At 41.2% G+C, this 25,504-nt stretch overlaps 1 protein-coding gene and 2 long non-coding RNA genes across 13 annotated transcripts in view, besides 3 other annotated features; 1 reads left to right on the forward strand and 2 right to left on the reverse strand.

Moving 5' to 3' along the window:
- ABCC5 (ATP binding cassette subfamily C member 5) overlaps positions 1–25,504 on the reverse strand; it is a 97,951-nt gene that overhangs the window by 69,904 nt on the left and 2,543 nt on the right. For all 11 annotated transcript variants that reach the window (NR_135125.2, NM_005688.4, NM_001320032.2 and 8 more), the window contains one exon: positions 24,427–24,610. Coding sequence is in view for 9 of the 11 variants with exons in the window: in NM_005688.4 (NP_005679.2) it covers positions 24,427–24,555 (129 nt within the window). In the remaining 2 variants the exon portion in view is untranslated. The remainder of the gene's footprint in view (positions 1–24,426; positions 24,611–25,504) is intronic.
- Positions 236–736: an enhancer, noted in NCBI's record as "H3K27ac hESC enhancer chr3:183707861-183708361 (GRCh37/hg19 assembly coordinates)". NCBI's record gives its function as "activates a minimal SCP1, AML or CMV promoter by ChIP-STARR-seq in primed H9 embryonic stem cells {active_cell/tissue: H9 hESC(primed)}" and the evidence as "EXISTENCE:reporter gene assay evidence [ECO:0000049][PMID:30033119]".
- Positions 16,501–21,582, forward strand: ABCC5-AS1 (ABCC5 antisense RNA 1). The gene is made up of 3 exons (NR_046570.1): positions 16,501–16,624; positions 20,614–20,804; positions 21,429–21,582. It is a non-coding gene; the product is annotated as an ABCC5 antisense RNA 1 (long non-coding RNA).
- Positions 17,180–17,229: a silencer, noted in NCBI's record as "silent region_14952". NCBI's record gives its function as "represses an Ori minimal core promoter by ATAC-STARR-seq in GM12878 lymphoblastoid cells {active_cell/tissue: GM12878}" and the evidence as "EXISTENCE:reporter gene assay evidence [ECO:0000049][PMID:35858748]".
- Positions 18,638–20,114, reverse strand: LOC124909468 (uncharacterized). The gene is made up of 2 exons (XR_007096191.1): positions 19,988–20,114; positions 18,638–19,727 (listed from the first exon to the last, which is right to left on the reverse strand). It is a non-coding gene; the product is annotated as an uncharacterized LOC124909468 (long non-coding RNA).
- Positions 20,569–21,768: an enhancer, noted in NCBI's record as "CDK7 strongly-dependent group 2 enhancer chr3:183728194-183729393 (GRCh37/hg19 assembly coordinates)". NCBI's record gives its function as "activates an origin of replication core promoter dependent on BRD2, BRD4, P300/CBP, MED14 and CDK7 cofactors, with strong dependence on CDK7, by STARR-seq in HCT116 cells {active_cell/tissue: HCT116}" and the evidence as "EXISTENCE:reporter gene assay evidence [ECO:0000049][PMID:35650434]".

Consider the following 25,504-nt stretch of genomic DNA (forward strand, 5'->3'; position numbering starts at 1 on the left):
TCTGTCACCCAGGCTGGAGTGCAGTGGCGCAATCTCGGCTCATTGCAACCTCCACCTCCCGGGTTCAAGCAATTCTCCTGCCTCAGCCTCCTGAGTAGCTGGGATTACAGGGATGTGCCACCATGCCTGGCTAATTTTTGTATTTTTAGTAGAGGTGGGGTTTCACCATGTTGGTCAGGCTGGTTTCGAACTCCTGACCTCATGATCCACCTGCCTTGGCCTCCCAAAGTGCTGGGATTACAGGCATGAGCCACCGCGCCCGGCCCTGTTTTTATTTTATTTTATTTTTGAGATGGAGTCTCGCTCTGTTGCCCAGGCCGGAGTGCAGTGGCATGATCTTGGATCACTGCAATCTCAGCCTCCCCGGTTCAAGCAATTCTCATGTCTCAGCCTCCGAGTAGGGGGGTTACAGGCGTGCACCACCATGCCCAGCTAATTTTTGTATTTTTAGTAGACACGGGGTTTCACCATGTTGGCCAGGATGGTCTTGATCTCTTGACCTCGTGATCCGCCCACCTCAGCCTCCCAAAGTGTTGGGATTATAGGTGTGAGCTGCCGCGCCCAGCTTATGGACCACTCTTTGTGTTCTATGTTCTAAAATTTACATTTTTATTACCAAATGTTTTATCTTCTGTTTCCCAATATGGATTGAGAGTCAATTATTTCACTACTAACTGAAAATCTGATTGCCCATTTCCTATGACAAAAATTTCCATCAGCCCCAATTAAACAGCCCTGCCACACAGAAAGAGCCTGGATGTACACGTGCCTCCCCTGTCACAGCAGCAGCAGGGAGAACAGAACGTGAGTTCTTATCCTGGCTGCACAGCTGAAGAGCTCTACACTTCCCTGCAGCACGCAGCAAAGGATCTCATGAGCTGAAATATAAAGTTACACGTATTTACTAACTAGAAAGTGTATAAATGTTCGTTCATTAGATTAACAAAAGTGCATGCAAAAGTGCATTCTAAGTCTGACTGTGGCAGAAGAGGGTGGGTCAAGAATCTAGACACACTTATCCCCCGTTTACTCTAAAAGTAACTCAAACGTTTATGCTTTCCTGTTGTAGAAGCAGAAGCTTCATTTTCCTCAATTTCCTTATCTTCCTTTTCTGTCTTAGCAGTGAAAGTCACATTATTACAAATATTTCCAGCAATTATTGTGAAACAGTAAAAAACAGATCTCAGCTGGGCATGGTGGCTCGCGCCTGTAATCCTGACACTTTGGAAGGATCGGTTGAGCTCAGGAGTTCAAGACCACCCTGGGCAACACAGCAACACACCATCTCTACAAAAAGTAAAAAAAAAAAATCAGCCAGGCATGGTGATGCGTGCCTGCAGTACCAGCTACTTGGGAGATGGAGGCAGGAGGATGACTTCAGCCCAGGAGTTGGAGGCTGCAATGAGCTATGATCGTACCACTGCACTCCAGCCTGGGTGACAGAGCAAGACTCTGTCTCTAAAAGAAGGAAAAAAAAAACAAAAAACAAACAAACAAACAAAAAAACAAGGAGAATAGATCCCCAAATCAAGAAAAAGTTAAGTGGTTTAGCACCTAACACACCAAGCCTTATACAAAGCAGTTGATTTTTATACATCACCTCCTTTCCCACCAAAGAACAGCGGGAACTTAAACATTAACAGAACTGAACGGGTAGAATTTTGTATACAGGAGTCAGCTGGATGCCTGGGCAGATCAAACACAATAGCTTTAGTTCACAGCACAGTTAAGTATCTTTAGATAACTTCTGGTATTAGGAAAGCACATAGCCCTGCAAAGCACACTCCTTTCCTTTTGTCAAAGGCAAGTCAGACCAGTTTCAAGAGAATAATGGTACAACATGACAGGAGTCAACAACAAGAACGAACTCGCTCTTAAATGAAGTCCTTATGTATAAGGTCAACACTTAATTTAGTGGTTAGGGACTACGGCACTTGATAATGAGCTGAGGACTGCTGAGATTTAAGTACATTACAAAGGTTTTTCTTACCTATGAGCTGCATATAATCACAAGGGGAAGGAAAAAACCTCCTGGATTGAGAGAGAAAGATACACTAAAAATACAAGCACACCTACTTTAAGTGAGTAGAAACTGGGAATCTGTACAGAGTAGGTACAGAATGTTACAGGGACCAGCCTTATTTGGATATCCAAAGCTTCAGAAGATGACAAAAGATCTGAAAAATGTCACTTCAAATACATTGCCAAAATGGACTATACATTGGGCTATAAAGCAAACCTCAACAAATCTCAAGACTGACATCATGTATACATGCACTCTGACCACTTTAGGATTTAATTAGAGTTCAGTAACAAAGATTTTTAAAATATCTGAATGTTCAGAAATTATGCAATATACTTCTAAGTAATGTAAGTGAAAGAAAACATCAAACGGGCATGACAATTTGTACCTATATAATCTCAACTACTCAGGAGGCTGAGGTGGGAGGATTGCTTGAGCTCAGGAGTTTGAGGCTGCAGTGAACTTTGATCTCACCACTACACTCCAGACTGGGCAACAGAACAAGACTCTATCTCTTTAAATTAATAAATAAAAAGAAGGCATTAAATGGAAACCAGAACATATTCTGTGCTAAACAGTATGAAACTGCAATACATCAACATCTCTGGGATGCAGCTAAAACAGAGAATAAGGTGAGATTTTCATCGCTTTCAAAGCATATACGCCTGTAATCCTAGCACTTTGGGAGGCCAAGGTGGGCGGATCACGAGGTCAGGAGATCGAGACCATCCTGGCTAACACGGTGAAACCCCGTCTCTACTAAAAAAAAATACAAAAAATTAGCTGGGCGCCATGGCAGGCACCTATAGTCCCAGCTACTCGGGAGGCTGAAGCAGGAGAACGGTGTGAACCTGGGAGGCGGAGCTTGCAGTGAGCCAAGATAGCGCCACTGCACTCCGGCCTGAGCGAAAGAGCGAGACTCCGTCTCAAAAAAAAAATAAAAAATAAAAAAATAAAAGAAGAAAAAGAGAAAAATCAATGCTTTAAGCTAGGGGTTGACAAACATTTTCTGTAAAAGGCCAGAGGTAAATATTTTCAGTTTTGTGGGCTAAGAGGCAAAATCAAAGATATTAAGTAGGTACTCCTATTACAAGAGAAAACAAATCTCCACAAAATGTTGACACAATTCAGATTATAATAATTGAGTACAATTTTTTGTAATGCAGGTCTACTGATGAGAAGAATGAAATTCTTTTATGGGGGAATAACATTTCACTTAACTGGGGTTTAAAATAGTTTTCCCTTTCATCAAAATTGATTGCAAATCTTCATCTATGAATGCTGATTTGCAATGAGAGTCTACAATTCCACTTTTGCAAATGTCTTCGTGAAGGTACTGCCGGGCTGGGCGCAGTGGCTCACACCTGTAAGCCCAGCACTTTGGGAGGCAAAGGCAGGCAGACTCCTTAGGTCAGGAGTCTGAAACCAGCCTGGTCAACATGGTGAATCCCCATCTCTACCAAAAATACAAAAATTAGCAGGGCGTGGTGGCACACACCTATAGTCCCAGATACTCAGGAGGCTGAGGTAGGAGGATCTCTTGAACCAGGGAGGCAGAGATTGCAATGAGTTAAGATTGTGCCACTGCACTCCAGCCTGGGTGACAGAGCAAGACCCTGTCTCAAAAAAAAAAAAAAAAAAAAAGACAGGAACTTCCAAATACTGAGCTAAATCCAGGAATACACATTTTTAATTGAGCCTTTTATCTCATGGAAGACATTATAGAATTCTATTAGATTCCTCTCTTGACATTTACCTTTATCATATCATTACATGCATGCACCCCACTGCAGATTAATCACTTTCAATGGAAAGTTATGTGGAAGCAACTAAATGCCACAGTTAAATGGATTATTTCTATGTGGCAAAATATATATAACATAAAATTTGCCATTTTAGCCATTTTAAGTGTATAGAATTCAGAGGCATTAATTATATTCACAATACTATACAACCATTGCCACTATTTCCAAAATACACGGATCTTGAAATATGGAAATTTGCCTCATACATCATCGAGGTCTAAAAATCACTACTAGAACTGTAATTTCAGTTTGAAAAATATATCCACTACAAATTTGTACTGGAATGGAGATCTCACTTTTTTTTTTTTTTTTTTTTGAGACAGCATCTCGCTCTGTCACCCAGGATGGAGTGCAGTGGCGCAATCTTGGCTCACTGCAATCTCCGCTTCCCGGGTTCCAGCAATTCACTTGCCTCAGCCTCCCAAGTAGCTGGGATTACAAATGCCCACCACCAACCCGTCTAATTTTTGTATTTTTAGTAGAGATGCCATTTTGCCCAGGCTAGTCTCAAACTCCTGACTTCAAGTGGAGATCTCACTTCTTGTTTAACTTTTGATAGCACAAGAAGTATATAAAGCAGCTTGACATTATTTATGATTCAAATATTAGTTGTCATTGAAATTACTTGACCACAGTACCATTTTACATTCCCACTAGCAATGGATGAGAAATCTAGTTTCCCCACATCCTCACCAGTGCTTGGTATTGGCATTTTTTTTTTTACCCCCAAGACGGAGTCTTGATCTGTCGCCCAGACTGGTGTGCAGTGGTGCAATCTCGGGTCACTGCAACCTCCGCCTCCAGGGTTCAAGCAATTCTCCTGCCTCAGCCTCCTGAGTTGCTGGGATTACAGATGCCCACCACCACGCCTGGCTAATTTTTCTATTTTTAGTAGAGACGGGGTTTCACCATGTTGGTCAGGCTGGTCTCGAACTCCTAACCTAGTGATCCGCCTGCCTTGGGCTCCCAAAGTGCTGGGATTACAGGCGTGAGCCACCGCACCTGGCCAGTATTGGCATTATATTTTATTTTAGCCATTCTAATAGGTGTGGTATGGTATCTTATTGTGGTTTTAATTTGCACTACCCTAATGGTGAACGAATAATGTTTAACATCTATGTGTACTTATATGTCACCCCTACATTCTTTTTGCTGAAGTATCTGTTCAAGTCTTTTGCCCATTTTCTATGTTTTTTTTTTTTTTTTTTTAAGACAAGGTCTTGCTCTGTTGCCCAGGCTGGGAGTGCAATGGCATGATCACGGCTCATTGCAGCCTTGAACTCCCAGGCTCAAGTGATCCTCCCACCTCCCAAGTAGCTGGGACTACGGGCACGTGCTACCACACCCAGCTAATTATTTTTATTTTGTGGAGACAGCACTATGTTGCCCAGGCCGGTCTTGAACTCCTGGGCTCAAGCGATCCTCCCACCTTGACCTCCCAAAGTGCTGAAATTACAGCTTATTTTCTAAGTGAATTTTTTTTTTTATTATTGAGTTTAGCAAGTTCCTTATATATTCTGGATTAAAGTTCTTTGTCATATGATTTGCAAATATTTTCTCCCATTTTATGGCCATGTTTCATCCTCCTAATTAGGGCCATTCATGCAGCAAAAGTTTGTAATTTTGAAGTCTAATTTACCAATTTTTTTCTTTTACAATTGTGCTTTTAGTGTCATGCCTAAGAACTCTTCTTCCAACCCCCAGGTCATGAAGATTTTCTCCTATGTGCTCTCTTAAAAGCTTTATAGTTTTACATTTTATATTTAAATCTATGGTTCATTTTGAGTTAATTTTTGTATAAAGTGTAAGGTTTCGGCAAAGGTTCACTTTTTTGCCTACAGATGTCCGGTTGTTCCAGTACCATGTGTTGAAAAGATTACCATTTCTCCAGTGAGGTGTGCTGCACTTATGTCGAAAAGTTGGCCATGCCTGTGTGAGTCTATTTCTAGACTCTATTTCATTGATCTATTTGTCTACCCCTACATTGATACTACTGACTTGATTACTGTAGCTACAAACTAAGTCTTAAAATTGGATAGTGTGATGCCTTCAACTTTATCCTTCCTTTTCAAAATTGTTTTAGCTATTCTAGTTCTTTTGCTTTTCCAGGTGAACCAAGTTCAAGAGTTAGAAGGGGTTTTCTTGTTGTTGTTTTTTTTTAAGACAGAGTCTCACTCTGTCGCCCAGGCTGGAGTGCAGTGGTGCGACCTAAGCTCACTGCAAGCTCCGCCTCCCGGGTTCACTCCATTCTCCTGCCTCAGCCTCCCGAGTAGCTGGGATTACAGGCACCCGCCACCACGCCCGGCTAATTTTTTGTATTTTTAGTAGAGATGGGGTTTCACCGTGTTGGCCAGGCTGGTCTCGATCTCCTGACCTCATGATCCGCCTGCCTCGGCCTCCCAAAGTGTTGGGATTACAGGTGTAAGCCACCGTGTCCGGCCAGAAGGGTTCTATAAACATCTTTGATGTTTGAGAAGCATCAGAAGAGGAAAACTTGGCAAGCAATCCATCAGTATGTTTACATGAGCATGGCATATTAGCATTAATAGGAAACCAGAATCTTCACAGCTTTCATCCATTCTTTCCACAAATAACTTACCGAGTGCCTCCGATCTGTAAGACTATTCCAGATGGTGGGAACCAAAAAAATGCCAGTTCCTATGTGTATAACACACTGATTTCATTTTCTTCATTTCTAAAATGCCTAGTGACAGTTTTCACTAAAACCTATTCATAGAAAACTAAATGGACTTAATATTTTTAAAATCCTCTGATTGCATGGTTTTTGTTCTTTTTACTATATATAACTATGTCATGTTTCACCACCTCCTAGGTAGTAAGTTACTTCCTATATTGGAAAACATCAAAATCAAAGGCTCTTTTTAAAAAGATTCAAATGAAAGCTGCCAGGCAAGTCTTCATTCCCCAGGTTTCTCGTGAGTACTGCAGTGGCACTACTGATGGCAGAGACTCAGGGCTCTCCTGCTGCCTTTGGTTTTAGAACAGGCACTCAGTGCAATTTTATCCTAACAAACCCCCATAAAAGTGGTTGAAATAGCACTAATCTCAGAATTCTCATGTAACAAAGCATGGAGTAGAAATTCTCACAGTAAGAGGATGGAAAAGTCTATATTGTTGATCAAAAAGAATCAAACCTTGCTACTCTAAGCAACGAACTTTCCAAGTCACATCCTGTCCCTGTTATTCTTTCCTAAACGTTTTCCCAAATTGTCAATCTTGTTGTCATATCTTTACACATTGCCCAAGTCAGGAAAATGAAATATCTGATGGAAATACAGGATATGATACAGGATCTTCTCCTTTGAAGGAACCACTGTCCTACTCCATATTTGCACCTACCTCCTTCAGAGACAGGTCTCTCAAAACAATAAGCAACAGATATTCAGCTGTTGGCAAGAACTTTCAAATGTTAACATGAAAAATAAATAAATAAAAAATAAAAACAAGAGAAAATAATTCTCTTACTCCAACAAAACTATTTTTTCTTATGGCCTTAAAGTATGAAGATCTCCACAGGCAGAATTTTCCCACAGCTGGAAGCCATAGTAAATACAGTGATTTCAAACATGAATTTTAGAAGATAGATACAGATTTAAGTTTCAGTTTACTCATTTTTACAATGATACATGCATCTACCACATAGGGATGAGAGGAATTAATGGGATAATTAAAAGTGCTTAGCAAAATATTGGGTATATAATAAACATTCAATACATGTTAGCTATATTATCCCAATTTACTTAGCCAATAAATCTTAGGGTCTGTCTCAACGATTTCTTCTTTCCTTTAGTTTTCCCTGACTCTTTCAAGGTCGGGGAACTTACTTCCTTCCTCCTATGTCTTCCCTGTACCTATACCACCACAGCCCAATGCTTCTGGTAAGAGCTCCTAGAGGGCAAGCTGTCTTCCTCTTGTTTATATCCCTGGCCTCTGGCATAGTAGAGAGTTTGGCACCCAGTATTCAAACGTCAATGAAAACACCTTCAAAATACCTTCTTTCCCTTACATTCTACATATCATCAATTAATGCTACATGATATACCACTGAGGCGATCTTACCCATTCCACTTCTGTTTAGATTCTCTAGCTGTTTTGCTTATTATTATTTTTGTCTGAGACAGGATTTTGCTCTGTCACCCAGGCTGGAATGCAGTGGCACAATCATAGCTCACTGCAGCTTTGACCTCCCTGGCTCAAGCAATCTCCCACCTCAGCCTCCAGAGTAGCTGGGACTACAGGCATGCACTACCACCATGTCTGGCTAATTTTTTTATTTTTTGTAGAGACGGGTTCTTACTATGTTGCCAAGGCTGGTCTTGAGCTCCTGGGCTCAAGCAATCAATCCTCCATTCTTGGCTTCGGAAAGTGCTGGGATTACAGGTATGAGTCTCCACACCCAGCTTTTGCTTATTATTAATAGTATAATATACAATTATAGTTTTATTTTTCTCCTTCTAGATTATTTAGGATAAATTCTATCCCTGGGGTTACAGGATTAAAAAAATGTAGCTCCTAGCAATTAGACTTCTACCCAGTTTGCCCCAATTAACTTTATTACAGGATATGTGCTCCAGTATTATTGCAAAAGAGAATTGCTATTAACTTTAGTACTTTCACTTCTATTTTGTGGACCTCAGGTTGTCTTGACATTAGCAAGAAATAAAGGAAGCTATAGCAATCTTCCTTGTGTACAGCCAAATCTCACGACTAGTATGCATTTATAAAGGCAAGCTTTTCACTTAAAGGTAATTAAGAAAATTTATACAAATTTATAACAAACCAACATAGCATGTACTATGTGCCAGACACTGTTTTAAATGGTTTACAGATACTAACTAATTTAATCCTCATAACAACCCTTTGAGGTAGGTACTAGTATCCCTGTTTTACAGCTAAGGAAACTGAGGCACACCGATGTTAGGTCACAGCAGGGATTTCAATCCAGCCTTGAGCTAAGGGTCTTGATCACTATGCTATGGGCCTGTCAAAAAAAACAAAAAAACAAAAAACAAAACCAAGCAAATAAACCATAACTGTACAAAATGATCCCAGGTGTACCTCATAAATGGCTCTTCTCTCTTCCCCAGGGTGAATACCAGATTAAGATAAACAATGACTCAGGGCCAGGCGTAGTGGCTCACGCCTGTAATCCCAGCATTTTAGAAGGCTGAGGCGGGTGGATCACCTGAGGTCAAGAGTTCGAGACCAGCCTGGCCAATATGGTGCAACCTCATCTCTACTAAAAATACAAAAATTAGGCGGGCATGGTGGCACATGCCTATAGTCCCAGCTACTCGGGAGGGTGAGGCAGAAGAATTGCTTGAACCTGGGAGGTGCAGGTTGCAGTGAGCTGAGATCGCGCCACTGAACCGCAGCCTGTGTGACAGAGGGAGACTCTGTCTCAAAAAAAAAAAAGAAAAAAAAAAAGAAACATAAAATAACAGCATCTTTATACTAACCTGCCAGTAACTGCACAGATGTCTCCCACTTGAAACTAACTATATGCTTGGATGTCTAACTTCTCTTCCTCTCTAGGCTTCCTAAAAAAGCTCACATGGCCAAGCATGCCAGGAAAAAAAAAAAAGTATGTCTATTTGAAGGTAAAAATAAATATTTTCTACCACAGTTAACATTCCATAAAGTGAGTTATCAACATTCTAAGGTTGAATGGATTAAAAATGGCAATGAACCAAGAGAAAAGACTTAATATATTCAAGCTATAAGGGCTTACTATACAAAAGCATAAATAATATAACAAGGTAGGGAATCATGAGTCAGTGAATATTGTTGGGACAAATAAATACCAGATTGGGCCAGGTGCACTGGCTCACACCTGTAATCTCAGCACTGGGAGGCCAAAGTGGGAGGATCGCTTGAGCCCAGGAGTTCAAGACCAGCCTGGGCAACAAAGTGAGAACCCATCTATATACAGCATTTTTTAAAACTAGCCGGGCATGGTGGTGCACACCTGTGGTCCAGCTACCTGAGAGGCTAAGGCAGGAGGATCGCTTGATCCTGGTAAGTCGAGGGTACAGTGAGCCATGATTGCACCTCTGCACCCCAGCCTGGGTGACAGAGACAGTCACTCACATCCTACCTACTACCTACCTTCCTACCAACTAACCAGATTGGAGATGAATTAATTGATATCCAGGTTTCATATCATACATTAATCCATCTGGAATTAACCTCCCAAAAATTACATTAAAAATGATGACATAAATTATATAGCATACTTAGTCCAGCTATGATGGGGGACAGCCTCCATTTACACCCAACAAGCAGAAATGTATCAAAGGGAAGAGAGGTTCAAACATGAAAAGGAAACTTTTTTGCGTAAGGAAATTAGCATTAAGAGAAGGGAAGATAAAGCTAAAGAAGTGACCAAGTGGCTGGGCGCGGCGGCTCACACCTACAATCCCAGCACTCTGGGAGGCTCAAGCGGGCAGATCGCTTGAGCCTAGGAGCTTGAGACCAGCCTGGGCAACATGATGAAACCCCGCCTGTACAAAAAAATACAAAAAAGGGACACCGTTAGCCCCAGCTACTCAGGAAGCTGAGGTGGGAGGATCGCTTGAGCCAGGACCATCGGGCTGAAGTGAGCCAAGATCATGCCACTGCACTCCAGCCTGGGTGACAGAGTGAGACCCTGTCTCTAAATAAATAAATAAATAAATAAAAATAAGAAGTAACCAAGTAGCTAACATAATAATATATTTCGAGTAGTGGACTTGTACTGAAAAAGTAAAATACAGTATTTTTTCATCCATTCATTCAACTAGTCCTTACTGAGGGCCTACTATGTGCCAGGCACTGTTCTAGATACAGGAGAGAACACACAGACCCAATGTCACCAATCGAGAAATACAAATTAAATTTAAGATACAACCACATAAGCCTTAAAAGAGATAAAATCTAATATGGAAAAGAAAATGCAATATGGAAAGGAGAGAAATATAGACAAACATACACGGTCTGAACATTAAACTGATTTTTAATATGCTACCAGCAGGGATTCAGGAGAGCAAACTGGTAATATGTAATACTACATACTCTGTGTCTCCATAATTTTACTGCATAAAGGAAAATCTTCCAAAGGAAAAAATCATTAAACCCAACAGCTTACAGGGATCTAAATGCCTAATACAAAATCAATGGCTAACCTACAGTAGATCAACACTCTAGTTCAGCACTGTCCAATAGAAATATAATGCAAGCTGCAAATGTAAGCCACATAATGTAATTTAAATTTTTCTAGTAGCCACATTTAAAAAGTAAAAAGTAGGCAGTGTACAGTGGCTTATGCCTGTCATCACAACACTTTGGGAGGCTGAGGTGGGAGGATGGCCTCAGGCCAGGAGTTTGAGACTAGTCTGTGTAACCCTCCAAAACCCCATCACTATAAAAAATTTAAAAGTTAGCCAGGCATGGTGGCACGAGATTGTAGTCCTAGCTACTCAGGAGGCTGAGGCAGGAGGATCACAGGAGCCCAGGTGTTTGACGCTGCAGTGAGCCATGGTCATGCCACCGCACTACAGTCTGGGTGACAGAGTGAGACTCTGACTCTAAAAATAAAAAGTAAAAGGTAAATTAATTTAAATAATATATTTCATTTAACCCAATGCAAAGTATTATCTTTTTTAACATATAATCAATGTGAAAAATTATTAGGTATTTTACAAACGAGGTATTTCTTTTTTCGTACTAAGTCTCTGAAATCAGGTATTTTATGCTTACAGCACATCTCAGTTCAGACTGGCCACAGGTCAAATGCTTAATAGCCACAATAGTACTGTGTCGCACGGTGCAGCCCAGGAGTTCACAAGTGAGGGTGTTTTGCTTGCCCAGAGGACATGTGGCAATATCTGGAAATGTTTGAGGGGTGCTACTAGCTCTAGCAGGTAAAGTCCAGGGATGCTGCTGAACATCCTACAATGCACAGGATAGCCCCCACAACAAAGAATTATGTGGCCCAAAATGTCAATCGTACTAAGGTAACCCTAGATAGCTGAAGAGCTAACACAGTTAGTACTGATATAGGCTGACCTAGAGGAATGTATTTTATGAGGCCATTTGTTTTTTGTTATGATGCTTTCAATCCCTTTTACAAGTAACTTTTTAAAGTTTCCCCTGAAACAAGATGAGGGGACCCATTTCTCTTAAGGAGCACAGCACACTGAAAGGCTGTCAGTGGCCAGACGACCCAGCCACACAGAAAGGCACCCACAGCAGCTGCTTTGTCTTAAAGGGAAAAATACTGGCAGATCCAGGAGCTGAGAAAAATATCAAACGAGGAAGTATGACTGCCATTTATATCTTCCCCATGACTATGTGACTAGGATACTCAGCATTTTTCCTACCAAGGTAATGGCAATGGGGCAGGAGTAAGGTCACAGGGAAGCTAAAGAGGGACAATGAAGTTCAGATTCTGCCGGGTGGGGTGGCTTATGCTTGTAATCCCAGCATTTTGGGAGGCCAAGGTGGGAGGATCACCTAAGGTTGGGAGTTCGAGACCAGCCTGGCCAACATGGTGAAATCCCGGTCTCTACTAAAAATACAAAAATAAGCCGGGTATGGTGATGCATGCCTGTCATCCCAGCTACTCAGGAGGCTGAGGCAGGAGAATTGCTTGAACCAAGGAGGCAGAGGGTGCAGTGAGCCAAGATCGCACCACTGCACGCCAGCCTGGGCAACAGAGCCAGACTCCGTCTCAAAAAAAAAAAAAAGAGAAAAACAAAAACAACAATAACAAAAAGCAATTCAGATTCTGTCAAGGTTCAAACAAAGATCAGGGAAACACACATTCATAGACACCTCTGGTATGAAAAACAGGTAACATTCGATTCATAAGCAGACAGATCTGCTCTTGCAAAAGACGCTTCTGCGGGCGCTAACGCCATCCTCAGGCCTCAGATAATCAGCGCACCTATCACACCCCATGGCCACCACTTCTCCAGCTGTCCCATCTCATTTTAACAGGCTGCCAGAGCAAATGCCTGCTGACAGGGCAACCAAGGGCTTTTCCCCTGCACGGAGGCCTCTGGGACAGATACCAGGGGCCAGAAATCGTTCCCCGTCTGAACAATCCAATCCCTTCCTGGAGGCCGGACAACAGCAGGGTAGCCTGCCTAATAAGCCTCGGGCTGAGGATTCAACCAAGTTGTTCCTGAAGGCAGAGACTGCAGGTGTCAACTGGCAACAGAGAGGTACCTCGGTTTCCAAGGGGGTTAAAGGCTGCCTGCTCCTGTCTGGCACACCCCTCAAATAAAGCGGTATCTGGGGCACAATCGGAATCAACAGGCCTCAGATCTCACAACACTGTCTTCCTCTCCTCTCCTCATTCACAAGACCTTAAGACAAACAAGACAATGGGCGCCTCTTCAAATACATCCTTCTGGCCAAGAAAACCATTTCTACAGATGTCCCAGGCCCACGCAGCCTTTATGACAAACATCTAGAAAGACAAACTTTTAAGGGGAACTGTTGTGCCACTAGATATACTTCTTAAGGGACTCAGAATATTAGAAATTAAATTTAAAAGTGAATTAAAATTCACTTTTAAATTTAAAAAGATCAAAAACTGATGTCCTCCCAAGACCGGCTGACTTCAGGCCTTCCCGCCCTTCCTAATCTCCAACAAGTTAAAGAAACCTACCAAGCACGTTTCCTCTGCAATTCCCACCACATCCTTACTCCCCAGTGGGTTGTTATCACAACCCTGACCATCTTAAGCTCTTCCCTTAAGAACTTCCAAATAGTAGCCATTTCAGTCAAGAGGATCAGCAAAATTCTAGAACCCAACCTATATGGGGAAGAAGCAGAATACAAAAGAAAGAGCTATTATTCCAAGTCAGGGAAGCTGCTAAACTCAGTCCTATCACTCAACAGCTATACTACACTGAGAAAAGAATTAACTTGAGCATCAGCTCACTTATCTGTAGCTGTGCTATGTTACTCTCAAGCCGATGATCAGCTAGCAATACAATTCACAAACATATCTCCACCACCACAGTAAAACAGGTATTTGTCTGCAGTTGATAATCTAGCATTACTCCATAATCACCAGGAATTTGAGGGCTTTCAGTTGTTTCATAAGCTAAATTCCAAGGAACTTATTCAAAGTTCCTGTTATGTTGGGTCTAAGATTAACTTTGTTAATAGCATGGTAAGGTTTCAAAGGATTAAACTGAAAATGAATCACAGGGGTAAAACGGGATTTACAGGAAACACTTGGAGCCATTGAGTGAGGGGAGAGAACAGACTTTATTCCATGAGATCTAGAGATTCCCAGCACTGCCTACCTACTAGAATCACCAGAGGAGTTTTAAAACAATACCAATGTCTGGGTTCTATCCCAGAGACTGATTTAATTGGTCTGGAATAGGACCCCAACACTGGTATTTGTTGAACATTCTTCAAGTGATTTTAACATTCAGCCTGGCCTGAAAACCACTGATTTAGAGAGTTGTGAATATTGGTCTTTTGCATTTGACAAAATCCCTTCAACAAGATTTTCAGGCTTTAGCTAAAAAAAAAAAAAAAGGCCAGGTACAGTGGCTCACACCTATAATCCCAGCACTTTGGGAGGCCCAGGCAGGTGGATCACTTGAGGTCAGGACTCGAGACCAGCCTGGCCAACATGGTGAAATCCTGTCTCTACTAAAAATGCAAAAATTAGCCAGGCATGGTGGTGCACACCTGTAATCCCAGGTACTTGGGAGACTGAGGGCAGGAGAATTGCTTGAACCTAGAAGGCAGAGGTTGCAGTGAGCCAAGACCATGCCACTGCACTCCAGCCTGGGTGACAGAGACTCCGTCTCAAAAAAAAAAAAAAAAAAAAAGGCCAAAATATAATTTGTAAATGAAACTTCCTCCAGTGCCTAACACAATGTGTGTTAAATGCTTAGTACAAGGCTTTCTGGGTTCCATCATGTGACCACCATACTGCAGAGCAGACCAGAACTGCTGATCACCGTGAGAAGCAAACACAAAGGTCAGGGGCTGAGTGGTTTGGCTATTTTTCTACTGTGAGACACAACATTTAAGAAAACTAAGTGACTGCTCAATATCATACCTGCATAATACCAAAGAAAAGTAAACAGAAGGTTGTCAAGTTAACAGGATTCTTAAAAAAGCCAAACAATTATAAGCATTTATTGTAACCCATTCTGTGTAGTTTATCTCTAAAAGCCTGAGTGTGTCTATTTCCACCACATAAATATAGATTTCATAATAACATACAAATCCTTTTTAGCGAGATTTGCTTTTGAAAACATATCCTGAACCCTCAGGTCAGGTACAGCTGTCAGTGTCGTGGCGTCTCCTGGGTGGTTCCATGCTCTTTTCAGCAGCCCAGCACACTGGGCCAGAGACAGGCAACAGAGCCATCATGCTTCAAAGAGGAGCCAAGTGCTGTATTCTGAGCCACCGAATTCCAGAAAGAACATCCTTGGGAAGCTCACCCAGCCCCAGCATAGTCTGCCTAGTAAGTGTCTCTCCTGGGCCTCACCTACAGAGAGGTGAGGCTAAATGGGGACTGGGCAAGACGGCCTTTGAGGTTCCATCCATCTTTTAAAGTACACATGTCAGTCTTGCTTTCTACCTCCATGAGCAGGCTTTGGTAAGTGGAAGTTCTCATCTGATATCTAGTAACAATTGATTCTTTGAACAGCTAATTCATAAAATAATCTTAAATAGTTAAAACATATATAACATCTAATTATCTAAATAGGCTAACTCCTTAAAAGGGGGGCAGGGAGGAAAAGGATAAATTTAATTCTGCTCATTAGTGGACTTCAGTGCACCAAATTAACTTCACATTAGTCTGTGAGTTTAATAATGACAGGTTTAACCATTGCAAAGCCTTCTGGAGTCCCTGTTTCTTTGCGTTGACCTTTTTATTTTTGACTAAAAGAGAGGGAAAAACGGTAAGACATTAAAAAAAGCATGAACAGGGAGGGGGGAGGGATAGCATTAGGAGATATACCTAATGTAAATGACGAGTTAATGGGTGCAGCCCACCACCATGGCACACGTATACATATGTAACAAACCTGCACGTTGTGTACATGTACCCTAGAACTTAAAGTATAATAATAACTAAAAAAAAGAAAGCATTAACGGAAACCCACCTAACTGTGGAAACAATATTTCATTGAAAAAGTTTTCATTAACCATTTGTAACTTCCAAGTTATCTTAACCAAATAAAGATTTAGGTACTTAAAAAAAAAAAAAACAGGAAGCTAATTCCAACACTTTTCTTCCCCTTTGACAGAAAGTTCCTTTAACTCATGCCAACAGGCTATATTTATTTCCCTTAAGCAGCACTTCCTAGGAAAGCCGCGGCAGTCTTGCAGCAAACGGCATAAGAGAGCTGATGATCCCGGCAGCAGCCCAACCTCAAGAGCCCCAGCGAGCTGTCAATGCAGTTACCAAGCATGAGAGCCACCTGGGCTCCACACCAATCGCACACTGTTGTTACCTCAGCCGGAGATCTCTGGGCTGCTATTGGAGACCAACACCTGGCACCAGACCAGATACGGTGTCACACCCAGCAGCGCCTAAGAGACTACTGTGCCTCATAAAGCTTTATGGATGCCTACAGGGAGAGAAGAAAAAAAAAAAAAAAAAAAGGCAGGTATTCTTACTTATCTTAACCCTGTCCAGAAAATCTGCTGAGTCACCGAGTATCAATCAAGAGAAAAATAATGCAGAGCTGCAAAATGCTAATCTCCTTCCTCCTGCTCTCCTTCCTAACAGCAAGCCGACTCACAGGTAATACTCTTGACTTGGAAAACACAAGGGCATAGACAAATTCACACGTCCTTAGTCTGTAAAGAAAAGCTTTCAGGAGCAAACTCTAAAAGTACAATGTACTAGACAAAACTATTTTATGAAAACAATGGCTGTCTCTGGGTAGAGGAATTAAGGGTGGTTACTTTTTTTCTACAACTTTACACACTTTGTACATTTTCTATAATGAGCCCATATTTCTTTCCTAACAATACATCTTCGAATCATTTCTGGTAAGAGATTAGACCCACATCTTTGATCCCTAAGATACAACTTGAGCTCACCAAAATATTTCAAAGCATTAATTATGAAAACTCCAACCAAGATTAAAGGGTCAGCCTACCACAGAACTAAGGAAATACTAAGTAAGAGCCCTGGATTTTATGAATACTTGCTTTGTTACCTTTCCTAGACACAGGATATTCTAATTTGGTAGGAAGAAAATCCCACCAATGACACACTTTTGAGAGAAGGGGAAAAAATAACTAAAGTTCATGTGCCAGTAATAATGGTACATGAACTTTAGTTTACTTCTGCTTTTTTTTTTTTTTTTTTTTTTTTGAGACAGAGTCTTGCTGTTCCCCAGGCTGGAGTGCAGTGGTGCGATCTCGGCTCACTGCAAACTCTGGCTCCCGGGTTCAAGCGATTCTCCTGCCTCAGTCTCCCGAGTAGCTGGGACTACAGGTGCATGCCACCATGCCCAGCTAATTTTTTGTATTTTTAGTAGAGGCAGGGTTTCACCATGTTAGCCAGGATGGTCTCAATCTCCTGACCTTGTGATCTGCCCGCCTCGGCCTCCCAAAGTGCTGAGATTACAGGCGTGAGCCACCACGCCCGGCCCACTTCTGCTTATTTTTCCATTCTTCCTTCTTTCCCAGATTAGACATGCTAATGAAAAACAAGGCACCCTTACCTTTGCCTGAGAGCACTAAGAAAACAAACCACCACCACAATAAAATAAAGCTCATAAAAGCATCTGACAAGCTTTGTCTTGCTTTTGCTTAAATATTAATTTAAAGCAATTAAAATCCAAACTCCTTGGCTTATTATTCAAGAACACACATGCCCAGGCGCAGTGGCTCACACCTGTAATCCCAGCACTTTGAGAGGCTGAGGCGGAGGGATCACCTGAGGTCAGGAGTTCAAGACCAGCCTGGCTAACATGGTGAAACCCCATCTCTACTAAAAATACAAACAATTAGCTGGGTGTGGTTGCATGTGCCTGTAATCCCAGCTACTTGGGAGACTGAGAGAGGAGAATCGCTTGAACTTGGGAGGCGGAGGTTGCAGTGAGCCAAGATCGCACCACTGCCCTCTAGCCTGGGCTACAGAGTGAGACTCTACCTCAAAAACAAAAAACAAAAAACAAAAAAACCCCACACATAATGTGAAATTCACTGAGGTATTGCACTATAGCTAAGACTTCACACATTTGATGCTCAATACCAACAAGGACTAGGTATCCCTATCCCACAACTCTTTCTTTTGCCTGGCAAGTTCTTCATTTCTCCAAATTCTATCCATTCCTCAAGTTTCCAGCCAAATGATACCTCCTCCTAAAGAGTTCCCTGAGAGAGAAGCACTTTCTCCTTTTACTAATTCCCACAGCATCTAAATTACAGTCATCTATGTAGAGTACGTGTTGTGAGTTTAAGCTTCTATTGGTGGACAAGCAGGCCCAGCACCAATTTATCTTTATCTGCACCAGACCACTCGGTTCAGTGCTGTGCATGCATCTTGAAGAGTGTTCAAATATTTGCTAAATTTAAAAAAATGAATAAACACTGACTGCATCTTAAAAAAAAATCAGGGCTCGTGGAGTCATATGATCTACATGTGCATATATAAATAGGATTAAAAAAAGGAACCATGCCTGAATAATCATGCCTCAGGCAAAGGAACAGTGTTTAGGAGCAGCCTAGGTATAAAACTTCATGTTAGCTGAAGTAACGCCAGCCTAATGCCAGCCAAAGTTAGTACTCAGGCTCAAAGAACTAACAGCAACAGAAACCACCACTTTATTAACACTTCAGGATTAAAGGATGCCTGCTAAGCCTCAAATTGTGTGTGGCCACAAGCATTAACATTACAGTCCCGAAGAAAGTGGGTAGATGTGCGAATGCTTTATTTCAACCCTAATTATTTCTAAGCATACGTGAGAAATTATAAATATTTGAAGATGTGACTAATAGAGCAATTTTTCCAAGTCATATTCCAAAAGAATGATTTGGTCACAATACTGAGAAATGGGCAAACCATGTAATCTGCATCTTCACTTACACCTTGAAGAAGAAAAGCACTGGCCTGCTCAAAGTCAGAACTTATTCTTTGGTGCTTTGCTTCTGACTTCTGTTTGACACCATTTCTTTTCTTTCTTTCTTTATTTTTTTTTGGTGAGACAGGGTCTCGCTCTGTCACGCAGGGTGGAGTGCAGTGGCACAATCACAGCTTACTGTAGCCTGGACCTCCTGGGCTCAAGTGATCCTCCCACCTCAGCCTCCCAAGTAGCTGGGACTACAGGCACAAACCCCTGTGCCCAGCTAATTTATTTTTATTTTTATTTTTTTGTAGAGACAGGTCTCACCATGATGCCCAGGTTGGTCTTGCACTCCCAGGCTCAAGCGAGCCTCCTCCCTCGGCCTCCCACAGTGCTGGGACTACAGGCGTGAGGCACCAGCAGCACAGGTCTCCTGCTTCTCGGTTAATTCCACGTGTTAAAGGCTAATAGTGCTGAATGAAACCTTGCTTTCCACATAAGAGCCATAGATGTATCCTTATCTTTTGTTACTTAGAGGCTTTTTTGTTGTTTGTTTTAAATTTTTGACAGATAGTAGGCATACCTGGCATCCTGGGAGATCCTGTCCCAGATTTCCTCTCTAACAAATATAAAAATGATGGTAATGATGATGTGACATGAAATTGCAATCTCTGCCCAATTAACTGCTTACTTTAAAAAAAGAAAAACTATATGCTTATACAGGAATTCTGCTTCCCAACTACTTACATTATCCATTTTATACCATTTATACAATTTTCTCAGACCACAAAATTTCTTGTCATCTTGCTGGTTGCTTCTGTCAGCAAACTTGTAACATGAAGACAAGTTAAAGATAAATACATCTGAGAAATTTTGTTTTTTGACAGGTAACGGTCAAGCAGATTCTAGATGGTGTCTGAACTTACAAAAATACTTAGTAGCGATGCATTCATTTTAATGTATATACAAAAATAGCTTGAATAAACCTATGGGCTTATTGTTGTTGTTTTGCTAGGTCTAGACTAAGTAACAGAAAGAGAGTAGAATAAAAGAAATCTTTTAAAAAAGTTCAGAGATTACAAGGATACAGTAAAAATCAGGAAAACAGTACTCAAATTTCAAAGTTTAGGGGCAGGGTGTGGTGCCACATGCCTGTAATCCCAGCACTTTGGGAGGCTGAGGCGGGAGGCTTGCTTGAAGCTGGGAGTTCAACAACAGCCTGGCCAACAGTGAGAGTGCCTCTACAAAAAAACAAACAAAAAAAATTTAATAAAAAATAAAAGTTCATGGCCAGATGTGGTGGCTGACGCCTGTAATCCCAGTACTTTGGGAGGCCAAGGCAGGCGGATCACTTGAGCTCAGGAGTTCAAGACCAGCCTGGCCAATGTGGTAACAGAGAACAGCAGGTAGGCACCTGCTGTTTAGGAGGCTGAGGCAGGAGAATTGCTTGAGCCCGGGAGGTGGAGGTTGCAGTGAGCTGAGATTGCACCACTGCACTCCAGCCTGGGTGACAGAAGGAGACTTCGTCTCAAAAAAAAAAAAAAAAAAAAAAAGTTTAGGAAACATGAAAGAATAATAAAAATAAAATTCATAAAATTCATGTGGATTCCTGAAATTTTATAAAAGTGGTATTAGCCTTCATATTTCTCTGAGATAAGGCTTCAGTGGCATGTTGAAAACCTGCTACAGTGGTGGCTGACTCCATATCCTTTAGGGTACTCAAAGCCCAGCGGTGCCTACCTGCTGTTCTTCTCCACTTCGTAGAGGAAAAGCTCGCTGCTGCCACTGCAAACCCTGATGTCAACTCTACTCTCACAAGCTGGGGACCCTATCCCCAGAAATTTCACAGGACCACACACCAGCTCCACAGCCTCCACCTTCTCCTGCTCTGCAAGCCATCCTTGGGTAAGCCTGCTCACTCTCACAGCTTCACCTATGTGGACACACTAAAGGCTCTAAATGTTTTTTCCTACACTACTTCTTGTCTATGCTCTACCTACTGATAATTTTACCCATATGCACTTCAAATTCAACATCTTCAAAATCAAAATCATTCTTCTTCTTTTTTTTTTTTTTTTGGAGATGGAGTCTCACTCTGTTGCCCAGGCTGGAGTGCAATGGCGCGATCTTGGTTCACTGCAACTTCCGCCTCTCAGGTTCAAGCGATTCTCCTGCCTCAACCTCCCAAGTAGATGGGGTTTCACTGTGTTGCCCAGGCTGGTCTCAAACTCCTGAGCTCAGGCAATCCACCAGCCTCGGCCTCCCAAAGTGCTAGGATTACGGGCGTGAGCCACCGTGCCCGGCCCAAACTCATTCTTAATATCTCCCCAATCTCCTTTTCTTATGTCCACGAATAGGTTTAAATCCTTACCATCAATCCCAGACACCCCAATGCCTCCCTATCTTCTAGAAACGCCTTTCCTCCATCCTCACTTCTGTGCTTTACAACAGAACCCTGGCCTCTCTGACATGGATAGGCAGAGCCGCTTCCTGAATGCTCTTTATATTTGGTCTCTTTCTCCTGTACAGGTTTTTTTCTGCATTGCTTCAAGACTAATCTAAGATAAAAATCTACTCTCAAACATCGTAGCCATTAGGGAACTGCAAATTAAAACCACAATCAGATACCAGGCACATCTATAGGAATGGCTAAAATAAACATTATAACATTGAGTACTGGCAACAATGTGGAAAAACTGGATCATTGCTGGTGGGAATGTAAAATGGCACAGACACTCTGGGAAAGAGTACTGCAGTTTCTTACAAACTAAATATGCACTTACCATATGACCCAGCAAGCGCAGTCCTGGGCATTAATCCAGAGAAATAAAAGCTTATGTTCACACAAAATCCTGTAACTGAAGGTTCAGAGCACCTTTATGTATAATTGCCATTAACTGGAAATGACCCATATGTCCTTTAACAAATGAATGGTTAAAGAAGCTATGGTACATCTATAACACGGAATGCTACTCAGCAATACAAAGGAAAGAACTATTGATGCACACAACAAAATTAGATGGCTATCAAGGGAGTTCAGCTGAGTGAAAAAAGCAATCTCGAAAGGTTATATACTATATGATTCAATGTATATAGCATTCTTAAAATGACAAAATTACAGAAATGGAGAAAAGATTAGCAGTTGCCAGAGACTGGGGTTGAGGGGACATGACTGTGGCTATAAAAGGGTAACGAGAGATCCTTGTGATGGAACCTTTGCATCCTGACTGTGGAAGCGGTCACACAAATTTACACCTTTAAAAAATGCATAGAACACAACACACACACACACACACACACACACACACACAAATGAGTGCATATAAAACTGGTGAAATCCTAAAGTCAATGGATTGTATCAATGTCAATCATTATCCTGTTGTGATACTGGACTATAGTTATGCAAGATGTTACCACTGGGGGAAACTGGATGAAGAATATATAGGATCTCTATATTATTTTTTATAATTGCATGTAAATCTACAGTTAGCTCAAAATAAAAAGGTTTTTTTTTTTAATCTCATTAACTTCCAATAGTTCCCTAATGCCCACAGTGAAATATTTCTTAGCATGGCATGCAGAATTTCACCCGACCTATAATCTCTTTACACATCCTATGCCCTGAACAACTAGTTCTAAGAGCTAACATTTATTGAGCACTGGCCATGTGCCAGGTACCATTTTAAATATTTTATATGTATTATCTCATTTACTCCTCAGTGATCCCATGAGTCAGGTACTACTGTCAACCCCATTTTATATACAAATGACGTAAGTAGCTTATCCAAAGTCCCAATATGTCACACGCTCTTTCCATACCTTTGGGTCTGTACTTGTACCGCCTAAAAAGCCTCCCCACCTAATCACCCTTTAAGGCCCTGCCCCAATGTTACCTTCTGACTTTTTCCAGACTTAACTGTTACACTAAATGTGTCTAGCACTCAGATGTAATGGATAGATGTTTAATCAACATAAGGTCTAGACAAAAGGACATGAGGAAGTTATAAAACTGGCACCACGAGAAGCATTTGACACTGATTACATTAAGCCTGTTTCTCTGAAGTTAAACCTGAATGGAAAAGCATTCTATAATACACAGTAGGGTACAGAAAAGACTCATTAGCAAGAAAATGTTCATTAATAAAGCAATGGCTTTAACACAACCAAAGAGGGAAAGGTAGTATCAGGCTAAGGAAAGGCCAGTGTCAGCTGCAAAGTCCATTATCTTTCTCAAATTTTCACATAACAAATACACCAACAAAAACCTCAACTTCCTAAACCTAGTCCATTCTGCCTTATTAGGTACTTTTGTAAGAAAAGGTATAATGCTTTTTTTCCTCAGGAAAAAGAATATTTTCTCGAGGTAAAAACGCATCTTCATTATTTCCCTTGGAGGAAATTAGATTATTATCTAAAGACTGCTTAACTTATGAATTCGCTTGAAAAACATACTGATAATCCCACAACTATCTAGAATTGTTCTGAAATCTGAGTCTCTCCAAAGGATTCACATTTTATTTTATTTTTTATTTTTTTGGAGACGGAGTCTCACTCTGTTGCCCAGGCTGGAGTGCAGTGGCGTGATCTTGGCTCACTGCAACCTCTGCCTCCTGGATTCAAGCAATTCTCCTGCCTCCCTCCTGAGTAGCTGGGAGTACAGGTGCCCACCACCACACCTCACTAATTTTTGTATTTTTAGCAGAGACAGGGTTTCACCGTGTTGGCCAGGCTGGTCTCAAACTCCTGACCTCAAGTGACCCACCCACCTCAACCTCCCAAAGTGCTGGGATTACAAGCATGAGCCACTGTGCCTGGCCAGGTTCACATTTTAAACACACATGACAGAAAGTAGAAGAAAACACCAATTTTGTTTAGGTACATGAATGAAGCTTAATTGGCTTTATATTCCCTGTCATTGACCCCATGACCCCCTCCCCCTCAATAAGTTGTCTTCTGTTAAGTATAGCCTTTTCAGAAGGCACCAACATAGAATAAAAGTGAAAAAGAGGAGAATGCTCAGAACAGACCGGGTGAGAGGGTGACAGCCAGCCTCTCTTCCACTTATTGAGTGCTTACTATGGACCAGAGACTTATCAATAACCATAAATTCTTAACAGTAACCTAAAGCCAATAAAGAAAAACACATTTTTTTTTGAGACTGAGTCTCGCTCTATCGCCCAGGCTGGAGTGCAGTGGCATGATCCCAGCTCACTGCAACCTCCGCCTCTTGGGTTCAAGCGATTCTCGTGCCTCAGCCTCGCAAGTATCTGGGATTATAGGCGCCCGCCACCACGCCTGGCTAATTTTTGTACTTTTAGTAGAGACAGGTTTTCACCATGTTGGTCAGGCTGGTCTCGAACTCCTGACCTCAGATGATCCACCCGCCTCAGCCTCCCAAAGTGCTGGGTTTATAGGCGTGAGCCACCGCGCCCGGCCAAAAAATAAGTTTCTAAATTACCCATTATACGAAAAAAGATGTGTTTTAGTACAACAAGCAGGTAAGAGACTCTTAGGAAAGGAAACTGACCGGTCGAGTTCTCCTGAACTTGGAATCTTCACGGTCTCTGTGCGTCCCAGAAGTGCTGGTTCTCTCCCTCACACTTCTATACCCAGGACTGGGGATGATATACTCTTTTCCTATGTCGATATCCTTCATCTTCTCTGAGTGGAGGTTCCAGGGCTCACAGACTGTTAGTTTCACATCAGAATTCCTGAAATTAAAAATTCATCAAGAAATAGATTATTTCCTAAACAGTACTTAACCATAAGCTCAAGTGCCTTAAAAATAGGAAAAAAAAAAAAAAGGCAAAAGTACTAAAGCTTTCTACTGTTATAGCTACAAAAATTAATTTTCAAAAAAAGTTCAAAGATTTTGATTTCATTTTTTTAAAGAAAAAGATTCAGTATAAGAGAATCAAGAAAAATTACCTTCTCCCAACTCTAAGGGAAAAAAAATTAGAAACAGTAAACACACTAGTAAAGAGACACCCATTCTCTTCAACTAAGCTCAAATCCAGTGTATACAATAGAAAGGTTGGTTTTTTTTTTAAAGACTTTCTAGAAACAATTTCAGTTTGTCCCAAGTATTAAAAACTCCACAATTTTAAAGTGGACATCATTTCTTCTACTAAATTTTACTAAATAAAAACTTACCAAACACTTATTCTACCAATGATATATTCCATCTCTGCCTTTTTATAATTAACTAATGGGTTAGCTGGTGTTATTTTAAAGCTCCATGAAGTTATCCAGTTAAAACAATGTTATAACTTAACTTCAAACACAAATTCCCTGGGTACTGAAAATGTTCTAAAACTAGATAGTGGTAATGGTTGCACAATGCAGTGAATACATTGAAAAAAAACACACTGAATTTATACTTTAAAAGAGTGAATTTCATGTCATATAAATCCTATGGCAACAAAGCTGTTAGTAAAAAACAATAACAAAAACAAATTCTCCACCCTGTATTACTAAGTCTTACCTAGTTTTTACCTGAAACTCTATTCTAAACCACTGCTTGCCTGGCTAAGTCTAATCAATATGCTGTATCAACTCAGGTCACTTAAAAACAAAAAACACATACATACTTCTCCAAAATGTTT

Source organism: Homo sapiens, chromosome 3, assembly GCF_000001405.40.
Source record: "Homo sapiens chromosome 3, GRCh38.p14 Primary Assembly".
Lineage (NCBI taxonomy): Eukaryota > Metazoa > Chordata > Mammalia > Primates > Hominidae > Homo > Homo sapiens.